This window comes from Homo sapiens, chromosome 19, assembly GCF_000001405.40.
Source record: "Homo sapiens chromosome 19, GRCh38.p14 Primary Assembly".
Lineage (NCBI taxonomy): Eukaryota > Metazoa > Chordata > Mammalia > Primates > Hominidae > Homo > Homo sapiens.
In genome coordinates this window covers 42,101,457-42,113,828 of record NC_000019.10, presented here as the reverse complement: position 1 = coordinate 42,113,828, position 12,372 = coordinate 42,101,457, and the positions used below count along the sequence as shown (strand labels likewise).

Below are 12,372 nucleotides of genomic sequence, written 5' to 3'. Positions count from 1 at the left end.
GCCGCATCTCATGACCTCCACCCCCCAGTCCACTTCTCATGCCTGCTAAGCTCTGATCCTGCAGTCATTCCACAAACATTTCCTGGCCTCCTGTGTGTCAGGCCATGGCAGGAAGCTGAAGACTTAGGAGTGAGTCACAGCCATCCTTGCCCCTGAGGGGCTCCCCGTCCTGCAGTGGAGCAAGCACATCAGTGAGCCACTAAGAAATGTTTCACTTGAAAGATACTAAGAAGCCCAGGAAAGAGAGTAAAAAACACTCATAAATGCTATCCCTTTGAAATTATATAAAGTACCAAGGAAAAGCCCCCCTTCCAGCCCTCTGATGTCAGCTTCCAAAGTAAATGCTGGTTAAACAGTTTGGCAGGATCCTTCCCTGCAATCTCCTAGCTTGTACAGACGAAGGGGCAATTATAATACAGTTCTATAATTTGTCTGTCCATTGCTCAGTGTGCTGCCTTCTGCCGAGGGGGCTGTGTGGATATTTACCGAATCAATGAGGGATGTTTTGCGGCAGATTTTCAATCAAGGATAGGAGAGATATCTCTCCAGGGAAGTATTTCAGAATGTCTGGGGTAGGGGCAGGCATTGATTGAAAACTTACGTTAACAGTTAAAACATCATTTTATATTGGAGAGTAGGGGGGAAAATTTCCTATTTTCCTAATAGGACCATGGCAAATAAAGCTTGACAAAATCTTTTAGGCTGCTACGACCTAGCGAGTGAAAGTTTCCCAAAGAAACCAACTGAGTGTGATGGGAATGTGGGAAGAGAAATGTGATGTGTGTCTGAGGGAATCAGGACCCACATCTGTCCAGGCTTTCAGGAGGAGGTGGGATCTGAACTCAGGGGAATGGGAAGGAGTTTGCTGGGAAGGGGCTTCCAGGCTGTGGGAATGGCAAGTGCAAAGTGAGAAAACAGGGCAGGCTGTAGCCGCACAAATAGGGATGGATGAGCTGGGAGGGAGGAGCCAAAGCCCAAGTCCAGGTGGCTGAAGAAGACTCAGGAATATTTGGCTCAGATCACTGAAAAGGCCTGGTCTGGAATATCAGGCCCAGCTCCAGGGGTCTGTCTCCCTGTTTCATTGTAGGGCAGGTAAAATGGGTGTCAGCATTTCCAGACTTGTAGCTATCCTGCCCAGGGAGATAAAATACGTCCCCTGGGCCGGGCAGGGTGGCTCAGGCCTGTAATTCCAGCACTCTGGGAGGCCGAGGTGGGCGGATCGCTTGAGGTCAGGAGTTCAAGACCAGTCTGGCCAACATGGTAAAACCCCGTCTCTACTAAAAGTACAAAAATTAGCCGGCCGTGGTGGCATGCGCCTGTAATCCTAGCTACTCGGGTGGCTGAGGCAAGAGAATTGCTTGAACCCAGGAGGTGGAGGCTGCAGTGAGCCAAGATCGTGCCACTGCACTCCAGCCTGGGCAACAGAGTGAGACTCTGTCTCAATAAAATAAACAAACAAAAACACGTCCCCTGGCTAGATTTGAGCCCTTGCCCTCGACCCCAGAGAAGGCAAGGTCAGCCCTACCTGGACCTCGTGACTTGAGGATGGGAAAGTGTAACCCCTGAAAGAGATGGGTTCTGTTGCTTGAATAAGTTGAAGAAGGGGCAGTGGGTACCAGGCCAATCAAAACTGCCCACCTGGAGGTGTGTGGTCAGTTCATCCACAGGGCCTTGGAGTCCAGGAGCCTGGCCCAGGCATGCCAGTTGCTCCCACTGGTTCCTGGGTTGGGATCTGCTGTTGCCTGTCTGTCCTGGAATTTTAGCATAAGGTAGCATGTGATGTAATATGCAGTCCATATGTAGGTATTTTTTTCTCCCTGTTGAATCATTCTCCATTTGTGGTATTCTGCCCTGATCGCCACAACTTCCTGGGTTCCATGTCACAGGGCCAACCACTGGGGGTCCAGAGAAGAACCCACACTGGAGAACGGCCACTCCTCTGCCCCTACTCCCATCTTTAGAGCTTGCCCTAGTGGAGTGACTGTACTAATCGACTGCAGGGGATAGGAGAATGGACTGCAGGGGATAAGAGTAGAAAAGAGAGCCCAGTAGGAAGTCCTTGAAGGCATACAGATGGGACATGAGGGTGGCTTGAGCCAGGAGGGTGAGGATGGGGATCCTGGTTGCTATTTTGTATTGATTGGATAGGTCAAGGATGACTCCTAGGATTTTGGCTTCAGCAGCTGGGTGGTAATGACGTGGTTTCCTGAGTTGGGGAAGATGGGAGGAATGGGATGTTTTGGAAGGCTGGGGTAGAGAGCCAGCAGTTTCATTTTGGACATGTTAGGGTTTGATGAGTCTATTAATCATCCACATGGGAACATCAACTAAGCAGATGCATATTTGAGGCTGAAGCTCAGCAGAGTATCTGGGCAGGAGCTGGAAGTTGTTAGTTGTCAGGAAGAGAATGAATTTGGCCAGGCACAGTGGCTTATGCCTATAATCCCAACACTTTAGGAGGCCAAAGCAGGAGGACGGCTTGAGGCGAGTTCGAGACTAGCCTGGGCAACATAGAGAGACCCTGTATCTTAAAAAAAAAAAATTAACCAGGTGTGGTGATGCATGCCCATAGCCCCCAAGCTACTTGAGAGGCTGAGGCAGGAGGATCGCTTGAGCATGGGAGGTCAAGATGGCAGTGAGCTATGATTGCACCATGACACTCCAGCCCAGAAGATAGAGTAAGACCCTGTCTCCAAAGAAAGAGAGAAAGAAAGAAAAGGAAAGAAGGATAGATGGACAGATGGAAGGAAGGAAGGACTCAGCCAGATTGGGTTCCCACCCTCAAGAGCTCACATTCAAGTGTGGTGACATGAGGTGGGCAATGGTAGCAAATGCTCATTTTGAGGGATATGTTGTAATTTCCAAAATGCTTTCTAGATAATATTACTCAGGCCTCAGAACAACCCAGTGAAAAAGTAGACATTATTATCCCCATTTTACAGATAAGAAAACTGAGGCCCTGGGAGAGAAATGACTCAGTCATAATGACTGCCATTTATGAAGGACCAATTAAGTGAAGAGGAATCAGGCTAAACATTCTACACATATTGTCTCATTTAATTCCTTTAACAGCTCCATGAAGTAAGACTTATTGTGGTGTCACCTGAGGAAACTGAGGCTTAAAGAGGGTAAGGAACGGCCTGAGGTGTGTGAGGGGCAGTCAGGATTCTGGGCTCCAAGGCCCAGGTCTCTCCATAACAACTTGCATCGTGATCCTGTACAGTTAAGGAGGCTGGGGCCCAGAGGGAAAGTGGCTTCCCCCAGGCACACAGCAAGAAGCAGGTGAGAGGGCTAAGGCTCAAACCCCCGAGTTTCCAAGCTGGAAGGGACCCTTGCACCCCACTAGTCTAACCTTCCCCTAGGTTAGGCGTTTCCTTGTTGGTGTTGTTGCCAGGTGGGGATTTTCACCCAGGTGGCTTCCATGGCAGGCACCCACTCCCTTCCCAGGCAGTGCGTCCCACCACCAGACAGACTGAGATTACTCAGAGTGTCAGAAAGCCTGACCTCATTTTAATTTTAAGTTTTATTTTATTTATGTAGTTATTCATTTTTTTAGAGACGAGGTCTTGCTCTATCACCATCATAACTCACTGCAGTGAGGTGCAGTGGCGCCATCATAACTCACTGCAACCTCAACCTCCTGGCTGAAGCAATCCTCCCACCTCAGCCTCCCAAGTAGCTGAGACTACAGGCATGTACCATCATATCTGGATAAGTAAAAAAAAAAAAAAAAATTGTGGAGATGGGGTTTCACTATGTTGCCCAACTGGTCTTGAACTTCTGGCCTCAAGTGATCCTCCCACCTCAGCCTCCCAAAGTGCAGGGATTATAAGCGTGAGTCACTGCATCCAGCTGAGTTTTATTTTATTTTTAAGTAGCAAATAATCATTGTATATATTTATGGAGTAAAATATGATGTTTTGATACAGGTATACATTGTGGAATGATCAAATCAGGCTAATTAGCATACTTATCACCTCAAATATTTATCATTTCTTCGTGGTGAAAACATTTAAAGTACTCTTCTTGCCAGACACAGTGGCGCAGTGTAATCCCAGCTACTTGGGAGTCTGAAGCGGGAGGATGGCCTGAGCCCAGGAGTTCAAGGCTGCAGTGAGCTATAATCACGCACTGCACTCCAGCTTGGGTAACAGAGCAAGACCCTGTCTCTTAAAAAACAAAAACTAAAACTAAAACTCTGTCTTTGATATTTTGAAATATGCAGTACATTATTAGCAGTAGTCACCGTGCAATAGAACACCAGAATGTATTCCTGTTATCTCACTGAAACTGTGTCCGTTGTCCGCCTTCCCTTTCCCCATCCATCCTCCCTTCCTCATTTTGAACACAATCTATCACGATATAGTTTACATAGTTCCCAGACCCCACTCCTTCCTGTTCTCCCCTACTCTGGACTTAACTTGTCTTAGAGAGGGAAGATCCAGAGCTGGTCACAATTTGCCATATCAGGGATGGCAAAGGAATGTCAACTCATGCGCCAACACCATTCCAGTCATGGTGGCTGCCAGAGATTGTGTGGAGGCCTCTAATGGGGGCGCGAGAGGCCATGGGGGATGGGCCGTCTGGCCTGTGCACTGGAGTGAGGTGCAGCACCTGGGCCGTTGCAGCCGGCCGGCTCTGGGGCTCCTCCTCAGTGAACTCCTCAAGTTCACTGTCATGGCTTTCTCTTCTCCCCCAGGTGGAACTGAGCCCTGGTAGGAAAGTGGGCAATTCACCCATGTATCCTGCAATCCACATATCAACCTTTCTGCCCCCAGTCATAGCCAAAGTCCCAGCTATGGCAAAGTACTGCCAGTCTGTCCTGAGGTTTCACCTCATTCATTCATTGAAAATGTATTGATCACCTATGAGGCTCCTGCACTGGGAGGGTGATCAAAATACAGCAATGAGCAAGAATCGGTACCGTCCCTTCTCAGCTTTCACAGGCATGCTAGCTCTTGTGCTAGGTTTCCTTAAAGCTTAGGGACAGAGCAGCTGATCTACAAAATATGCCAGCCAGGGTCTTTTCTCTGGCCTGTCTCCACTTACTATACCTTCTCCACCCTCTGACTGGTGTGCTCTGACTCGGACGTAACACGCCCTCAAGTGGCTTCAGAGGGCCATGCTGCCGCTGGATTGTGGAGAAATGGCGCCTCCTACCGGCTTACCCTAGTCCTGAGCCAACTTACTGTTCCTGTTCACCCAGAATCTTGTCTTCTCTCCTTTCTTTCTTTTTTTTTCTTTGTTTTATTTTGAGACAGGGTCTCTCTGTGTCACCCAAGCTGGAGTGCAGTGGCGTGACCATGGCTCACTGCAGCCTTGACCTCCCAGGGTCAGGCCATCCTCCCACCTCAGTCTCCCGAGTAGCTGGGACTACAGGCACGTGCCACCATGCCTGGATTTTTTGTAGAGACCCCGTCATGTTGCCCAGGCTGGTCTGGAACTCCTGGGCTCAAGCAATCCACCTGTCTCAGCCTCCCAAAGTGCTGGAACTATAGGTGCGAGCCACCATGCCCCATCATCTTTCTCCCCTTCTTTCATTCCTTTAGTTGGCAAATATTTAGTGAATATCACCATGCCCAAGTGCCTTTCTGGGTGAGGATATAGCGGGGAATGAGGTAGATAAGTCTGTGCCCTCTTGGAGCTGACACCCGCTGTAGTTGGGGAGATAGGCAGGAAGCAGATAATTGCTATGAAGGAAAGAAAAGAGTGTAATAGAGAGTGTTGGAGGAAAAAGAAGACTTCATAAGAGTGTGTGGCCAGAGAAGGCCTCTCTAGGGAGGGGGCGTTTGATGGAGACTTAAATGATGAGGAGGGACCACCTCTGTGTAGATCTAGAAAGGGTATAGCAAAGGTATGAGGTGGGGACTTCTTTGTGGTTCAGTAACAGGAAGGAGATCAGTGGGGCTGGATCAGAGTTAGGGAGTTAGAGTTGTGTGAGGCAAGGAAGGAGAGGTAAGCGGGGGTGGTGGGCAGGCCATGCAGGACCATAGCCTGGATCTGGATTATACCACAAATGTGATGAAAATCAGTAGAGGCCTTATGGCTTAATTTATATTTTAAAACAGGGACTTGGACTCCATAGACCACCCCTAGAAGAGTCTGTGCATAGAATTCAGAGTCCATGAACTTGGATGGGAAAAAAATTACATCTCAATTTTTACTATCTTCTGACCAAACCATAGCATGTCCCTCTATCATGAATATAGACAACAGACAACAGTAGTATTAGCGGTACTGAGACTTTGTCACCAAGAGAATGTACGCAGATTTTCAAATTCTCTTATAGTTGTTGCAGATCTCTCAAAACACTGTTTTCACTCATGATTGCTTTGAAATTACAGTAGTCATCAGATCTATTGCTGGATCTTGTTACTTAGTGTGCTAATAAAGAAACCCATAAATGATTTTATGACCACTCAAAATATGTTTGATGCCTATATTTTTTTAAATTTTAATTAATTAATTTTTTTTGAGACGGAGTCTCACTCTGTTGCTCGAGCTGGAGTGCAGTGGTGTGATCTCAGCTCACTGCAACCTCTGCCTCCTGGGTTCAAGTGATTCTCCTTCCTCAGCCTCCCATGTAGCTGCAACTACAGGCGCCCGCCACCACACCTGGCTAATTTTTTTTCTGTATTTTTTTGGTAGAGATGGGGTTCCACCATGTTGGCCAGGCTGGTCTCAAACTCCTGAACTCAAGTGATTCGCCCGCCTTGGCCTTCCAAAATGCTGGGATTACAGGCATGAGCCACCGCACCCAGCCAAATTTTAATTAATTTATTTTATTTTATTTTGTTTTTTGGAGACGGGTGTCTCCCTTTGTTGCCTAGGCTGCAGTGCCATGGTGTGATCATAGCTTACTGCCACCTCAAACTCCTGGGTTCAAGGGATCCTCCCACCTCAGCATCCTGAGTAGCTGGGACCACAGGCATGCACCACCATGCCTGGCTAATTTTCCTTCTCCTCCTTCTCCTTCTCCTTCTCCTCCTGCTCCTCCTCCTCCTCCTTCTCCTCCTCCTCCTCTTCCTCCTCCTCCTCCTCTTCCTCCTTCTCCTCTTCCTCCTTCTTGTTTTTTTCTTTTTGTAGAGACAGGGTCTTGCCATCTTGCCCAGGCTGGTCTCAAACTCCTGGGCTCAAAAGATTCTCACATCTAGCCTCCCAAAGTGCTGGGATTATAGGCATGAGCCACTGTGCCCAGCCAGTTTTTATTTTAGATTCAGGGATACATGTGTAGGTATGTTACAAGGGTTATATTGCATGGATGCTGAGGTTTGGGGTATAATTGTTCCTGTCACCCAGTAGTGAACACAGTACCCAGTAGGAAGTTTTTCAGCCTTTGCCCTTCTCCCTCCCTTTGGAGTCCCTAGTGATGATGACTATAATTATGTGATTGATTTCATTTGAAATTCTATATATCTGGCTGGACATGGTGGCTCACACCTGTGACCCCAGCACTTTGAGAGGACGAGGTGGGTGGATCATCTGAGGTCGGGAGTTTGAGACCAGCCTAGCCAACATGGTGAAACCCCTTCTCTACTAAAAATACAAAAATTAGCTGGGCATGGGCATGGTGGGTGCACCTGTAGCCTCAGCTACTTGGAAGTCTGAGGCAGGATAATTGCTTGAACCCGGGAGGCAGAGGTTGCAGTGAGCCAAGCAAGACTGAGCCACTGTACTCCAGCCAGGGTGACAGAGGGAGACTCCATCTCATCTCAAAAAAGAAAGAAAGAGAGAGAGAGAAGGGAAAGAAAGAAAAGAAAGAAAAAGAAAGAAAGAAGAAAGAAAGAAAGAAAGAAAGAAAGAAAGAAAGAAAGAAAGAAAGAAAGAAAAAAGAAAGATCCTATATATCATATGTTATGTGTTTTTAATTCTGAGAAGAGGGCAATAGGTTTTTTTTTTTTTCAGATGCTGAAGAATTCAGGGCACAAAAACATTTAGACCTCTATTGTTTTAGACCCCTCTCTGCCTGCCTGGGGGCGAATGGATGGTCTGGGGTAGAAGGATGGTGGTTTGGACCAGGACAGTCACTGTGGACAGGAAGAGATGTAGAGGGAACTGGGAAGACTTGCATTGCAGATGGATTGGATGGATGGGGAGAGGAAGGGAAGGTGGGATTAAGGCTGACCCCTAAGTCTCTGGTCTGAGAAACTAGACAGGGATGTGATTAAATGTTTCCCATCTGAACTTCTCACCATGAGACCTTCTGCAAACTGGGATGCACTTTCCCCATTCTTTCCTCTCGCTGGTGATTCAGAACGAAACCCACAGACACCTCTCTAGGCTTCTGGAGGAAAGGGGAATTTTCATTGAGAGTCATGCTAGGGAGGAACAGGAGTTAACAAATACTTTAATCAACAAGCTAAGGGTTATAGGAAATCAGAAAAATGCTGGTAATAAGACTTGATTTCTAGTCTTATTCATTAGATTCAATTCAGTGGGCATTTAATGGGGGCTTACCAGGTTCCGATATGAGTTAGGGATATACGAAGAATAAGATATGCCTCTGGTCTGCTAGAGTCAGTCTGGCAGAGGAAAAGTACACATAAGCAAATGCATTGACTTGGGAGACGTGTAGCACAGGGCAGGTGGGTCTCGTTTTGTGGGGCCAAAAGATTATGCAACTTGGAGTCCCTTTGAAAGAAAAAGACAATGTTTGAAACAAAAATTAGGTATGGGGCCTTGAAAGGGTTCACTGTAAATGGGGGGCCCTGAAGCATAAGTGTTGCCCGCTTCACAGTTGATCCACATCTGGAGGGAGGTGACCATGGAGGTGTTACTGGGCTGGGGGTAGCTGGGAAAGGGAAGGCAGGGTGGACATTGTTTCACAGGATAGAGTGCTAGGACTTCAGAACCCTTAAGCTGGATTCTGAGATGATTAGCAGCAAGAGTTAGAGAGGTCAGGAGCACAGGAGTACCCAGTCCACTGCCATACACGGAATAAGCAGAGGCACCCCCAGGGGGTCAGGGAATAGTGTTCAGCTGTCGAAAAGCAGGGATGTTGATCAGCAGTGACTGTTTGGGTGGGTGGGGGTGAGACACTGGGATATTTATTTACTCAGACCAGGTACATGTTTCAAATCCCAGAGGTATGAATGGATTTACAGCGTGGCCTTCTGGTATGGTTTTCCAGACATCAACTATGCATACCCAAGCAAATATCCAGATATACTCTTTTTTTGTGTGTGACACAAACAGTACCACCTCATACCCTCTGTTCTGCCTCTTGAGCTTTCCACTCAACAGGACATCCTGCAGATTGTTCCATGTCAGGACACAAAGAGACTCCTCATTCTTGCTGGTGACTGCATAGTATTCCACTGTAGAGCTCTGCCCTCATTCATCCAACCCATCCTGTCTTGCTGCATGCTCAGCTACCTTCTACTCTTTTGCCAGAATGCCACTTGCTGCTGGGAATAGCCTTCTAGAGAGGTCATTTTGCACCTCTCTAGAAGGCCATTCCCAGCCTTCTAGAGTGAGAATAGATAAATTTTTAGCAGTAGAATGGCTGAGTTGAAGGCTGTGTGCAGTTGTAATTTTGATAGACATTGCCAAATCACCCTCTCACCAGCATGTACAAGAATGTGTGTTTCCCCACACTCCCCAATGTGGTATTACACACTATTTTTATATTTGGTGATCTGAGAGGTAAAAATGATATCTCAGTGCAATTGCAGTCGTGTTTATCTTATTGCGAGTGAATCTGAGTGTATTTCCATCCAGAGCTGTTCACATTAATTTCACTGGGCACTCTCCAGACCTGTCTGTCAGCCACATTACTACTGGGTTGTCAGTTTTTTACTTATGGATTTGTAATCACTACTTTTTTCTTCTTCTTTAATTATATAGAGTTATTTGCAAAATCTCTCTTTGTATATTAAAGAAATGAGCCCCTTCTGGCCTGGGCAGGGTGGCTCATGCCTGTAATCCCAGCTCTTTGGGAGGCCGAGGCAGGCGGATCACGAGGTCAGGAGATCGAGACCATCCTGGCTAACACGGTGAAACCTCGTCTCTAATAAAAATACAAAAAAATTAGCCAGGCGTGGTGGCGGGCGCCTGTAGTCCCAGCTACTTGGGAGGCTGAGGCAGGAGAATGGCGTGAACCTGGGAGGCGGAGCTTGCAGTGAGCCGAGATGGTGCCACTGCACTCCAGCCTGGGCAACAGAGTGAGACTCCATCTCAAAAAAAAAAAAAAAAAAAAAAAGAAACGAGCCCCTTCTGTTGAATTGCTTATATATTTTCCCAGTTTGTTCACTTCCTGGCACATCAAATTGGTCTTTAGGAATAATAGCATTGGGAAGAATTGAGGGGCATGTGCCAACCCCCACAATTTCCCAGAAGGAAAAAATTGTAAGTAACATGTTATAGCTTTCAACTTTACATAAAATTTGCCAAGTAAATGATGAAGCATCAGTCTTGGTTCATTAACATATCTATGTGGAACACCTACTGGGTGCCAGGTGCTGTTCTAGGCACTGAGGATACAGCAGTGACTGAAACAGTCAAGATCATGCTCTCATGGAGCTGACGTTCCAGTGAGAGGGGCATGTCATGAATGAGTAAACAGGAGGAGCGATGCCTGGAGATGGTGTTAAGCCTTGTGAGGGAGATGAAATGGGGTGATAAGGGGAGGCCAGGCCAGGGGCTGGTATAGACTGGGTGGTCAAAGAGGGCATCTCTGAGAGGGTGACTTTGTGTTAGGATCCAGGCATTAGTGTCAGAAGTAGAACTGCCCAGGAGAGGGAACGGCATGTATAAAGGCCCTGAGGCAGGAACAAGCTTGGTGCATTTGAAAAAAAAAAACAGAAAAGGGCTAAATGGCTGGAGCACAGCCAAGGAGGGATAGGGCAGTGGGAGATGAGCAGGGAGATGAACACAGGCCTCAGTATAAAGGGACTTGTAGGCAGGTGAGGGGTTTTGTTTGCATTGTTGAGGGCTATGAGAAGCCATTGGATTGTGTGTGTAAAGCGGTTTTGCTTTTTCTTTCAGAAATGTTTAAACGTAAAAGTAGAGAGAATTATGTCATGAACCCCACATACTCTTCACCAAGCTCAATAGATATCAACATTTTGCCCTTCCTATTGGCAAATAGGATTTCATCTAAACCCCTCACTTTTTTTGGTGGGTGGAGGATTGGATTTTTTTTCCCCTCCCTCTTTCCCTACCTCATCCCCCCTTTTTTCCCTTTATTTTACTTTATTTTTTACTCACCACTATACAAACAAGATTTTTTTTTTTTTGAGATGGGGGTCTCACTATGTTGCCCAGGCTGGTCTTGAACTCCTGGCCTCAAGCAGTCCTCCTGCCTCAACCACCCAAGGTGCTGGGATTACAGGCACATACCACTGTGCCTGGCCCTGTCTTAAAAAATACTTTTATTAAAATATAATGCATATATAAAGGTGCACAAATCATAGGTATACAGCTGTGAGCACACCCATGGAACTGGTACCCAGATCTAGAAATAATGTGGCCAGCTCCCAGAAGCCCCCTGGTGTCCCTTTTCAGTCTTTACTCCCCAAACTTCAACCATTAGAATCGTACAGGATGTTCTCTGTCATGACTAGCTCTCTCACTGATTATGTTTGGGAAGTCTACGTTGTGGCATGTAACCATGACTTGTGGACTGCTCATTCTCATTGCTGTAGCTTCCACTGAAACAGTTTCTTTACCCATTCTACTGTTGTGCGCGCTTGGGCTATCTTCAAGTCCTGCCTATTTCAAATGGTCCACGTGAACATTGTAGTACATGTCTTGTGGTAAACACATACACATGTATGGTGGGTTACATGCAGGAGTGGAGTTGCTGGGTCCTAAGGGTGGTGTATGTTCAGCTTTCTTTTTTTTTTTTTTTTGAGATGGAGTCTCATACTGTTGCCCGAGCTGGAGTGCAGTGGCGCAATCTGAACTCACTGCAACCTCCGCCTCCCGGCTTCAAGCGATTCTCCTGCCTCAGCCTCCCAAGCAGCTGGGATTACAGGCACCCACCACCATGCCCAGCTAATTTTTTGTGTTTTTAGTAGAGACGGGGTTCCACTATGTTGGCCAGGCTGGTCTCAAACTCCTGACCTCGTGATCCTCCCGCCTCAGCCTCCCAAAGTGCTGGGATTACAGGCATGAGCCACCAAGCCCAGCCAGTTTTCTTAGATAGCGCCTATATTAGTTTGCTAGGGCTGCCAAAACAAAGAACCACAAACTGGGTGACTTGAGGTAAATATATTGCCTCACAGTTCTGAGGCTGGAAGTCAGAAATCAAGCTGTCAGCAGGGTTGTGAGGGAAGGATCTGTCCCTTCTGAGGGCTGTGATGGAGAGATCTGTTCCAGGCCTCTCTCCTTGGCTTGCACGTGGCTGTCTTTTCCCTGTGTCTCTTCACA

The 12,372-nt window shown here is 47.1% G+C and overlaps 1 protein-coding gene across 31 annotated transcripts in view; it reads left to right on the top strand.

The window, feature by feature from the left end:
• POU2F2 (POU class 2 homeobox 2) overlaps positions 1-12,372 on the top strand; it is a 111,827-nt gene that overhangs the window by 84,108 nt on the left and 15,347 nt on the right. Inside the window, exon 2 of one of the 31 annotated variants that reach the window (XM_047438968.1) lies at positions 3,073-3,128. The exons of the other annotated variants lie outside the window; for them this stretch is intronic. The gene's annotated coding sequence lies outside the window, so the exon portion shown is untranslated. The remainder of the gene's footprint in view (positions 1-3,072; positions 3,129-12,372) is intronic. 31 annotated transcript variants of the gene reach the window in all.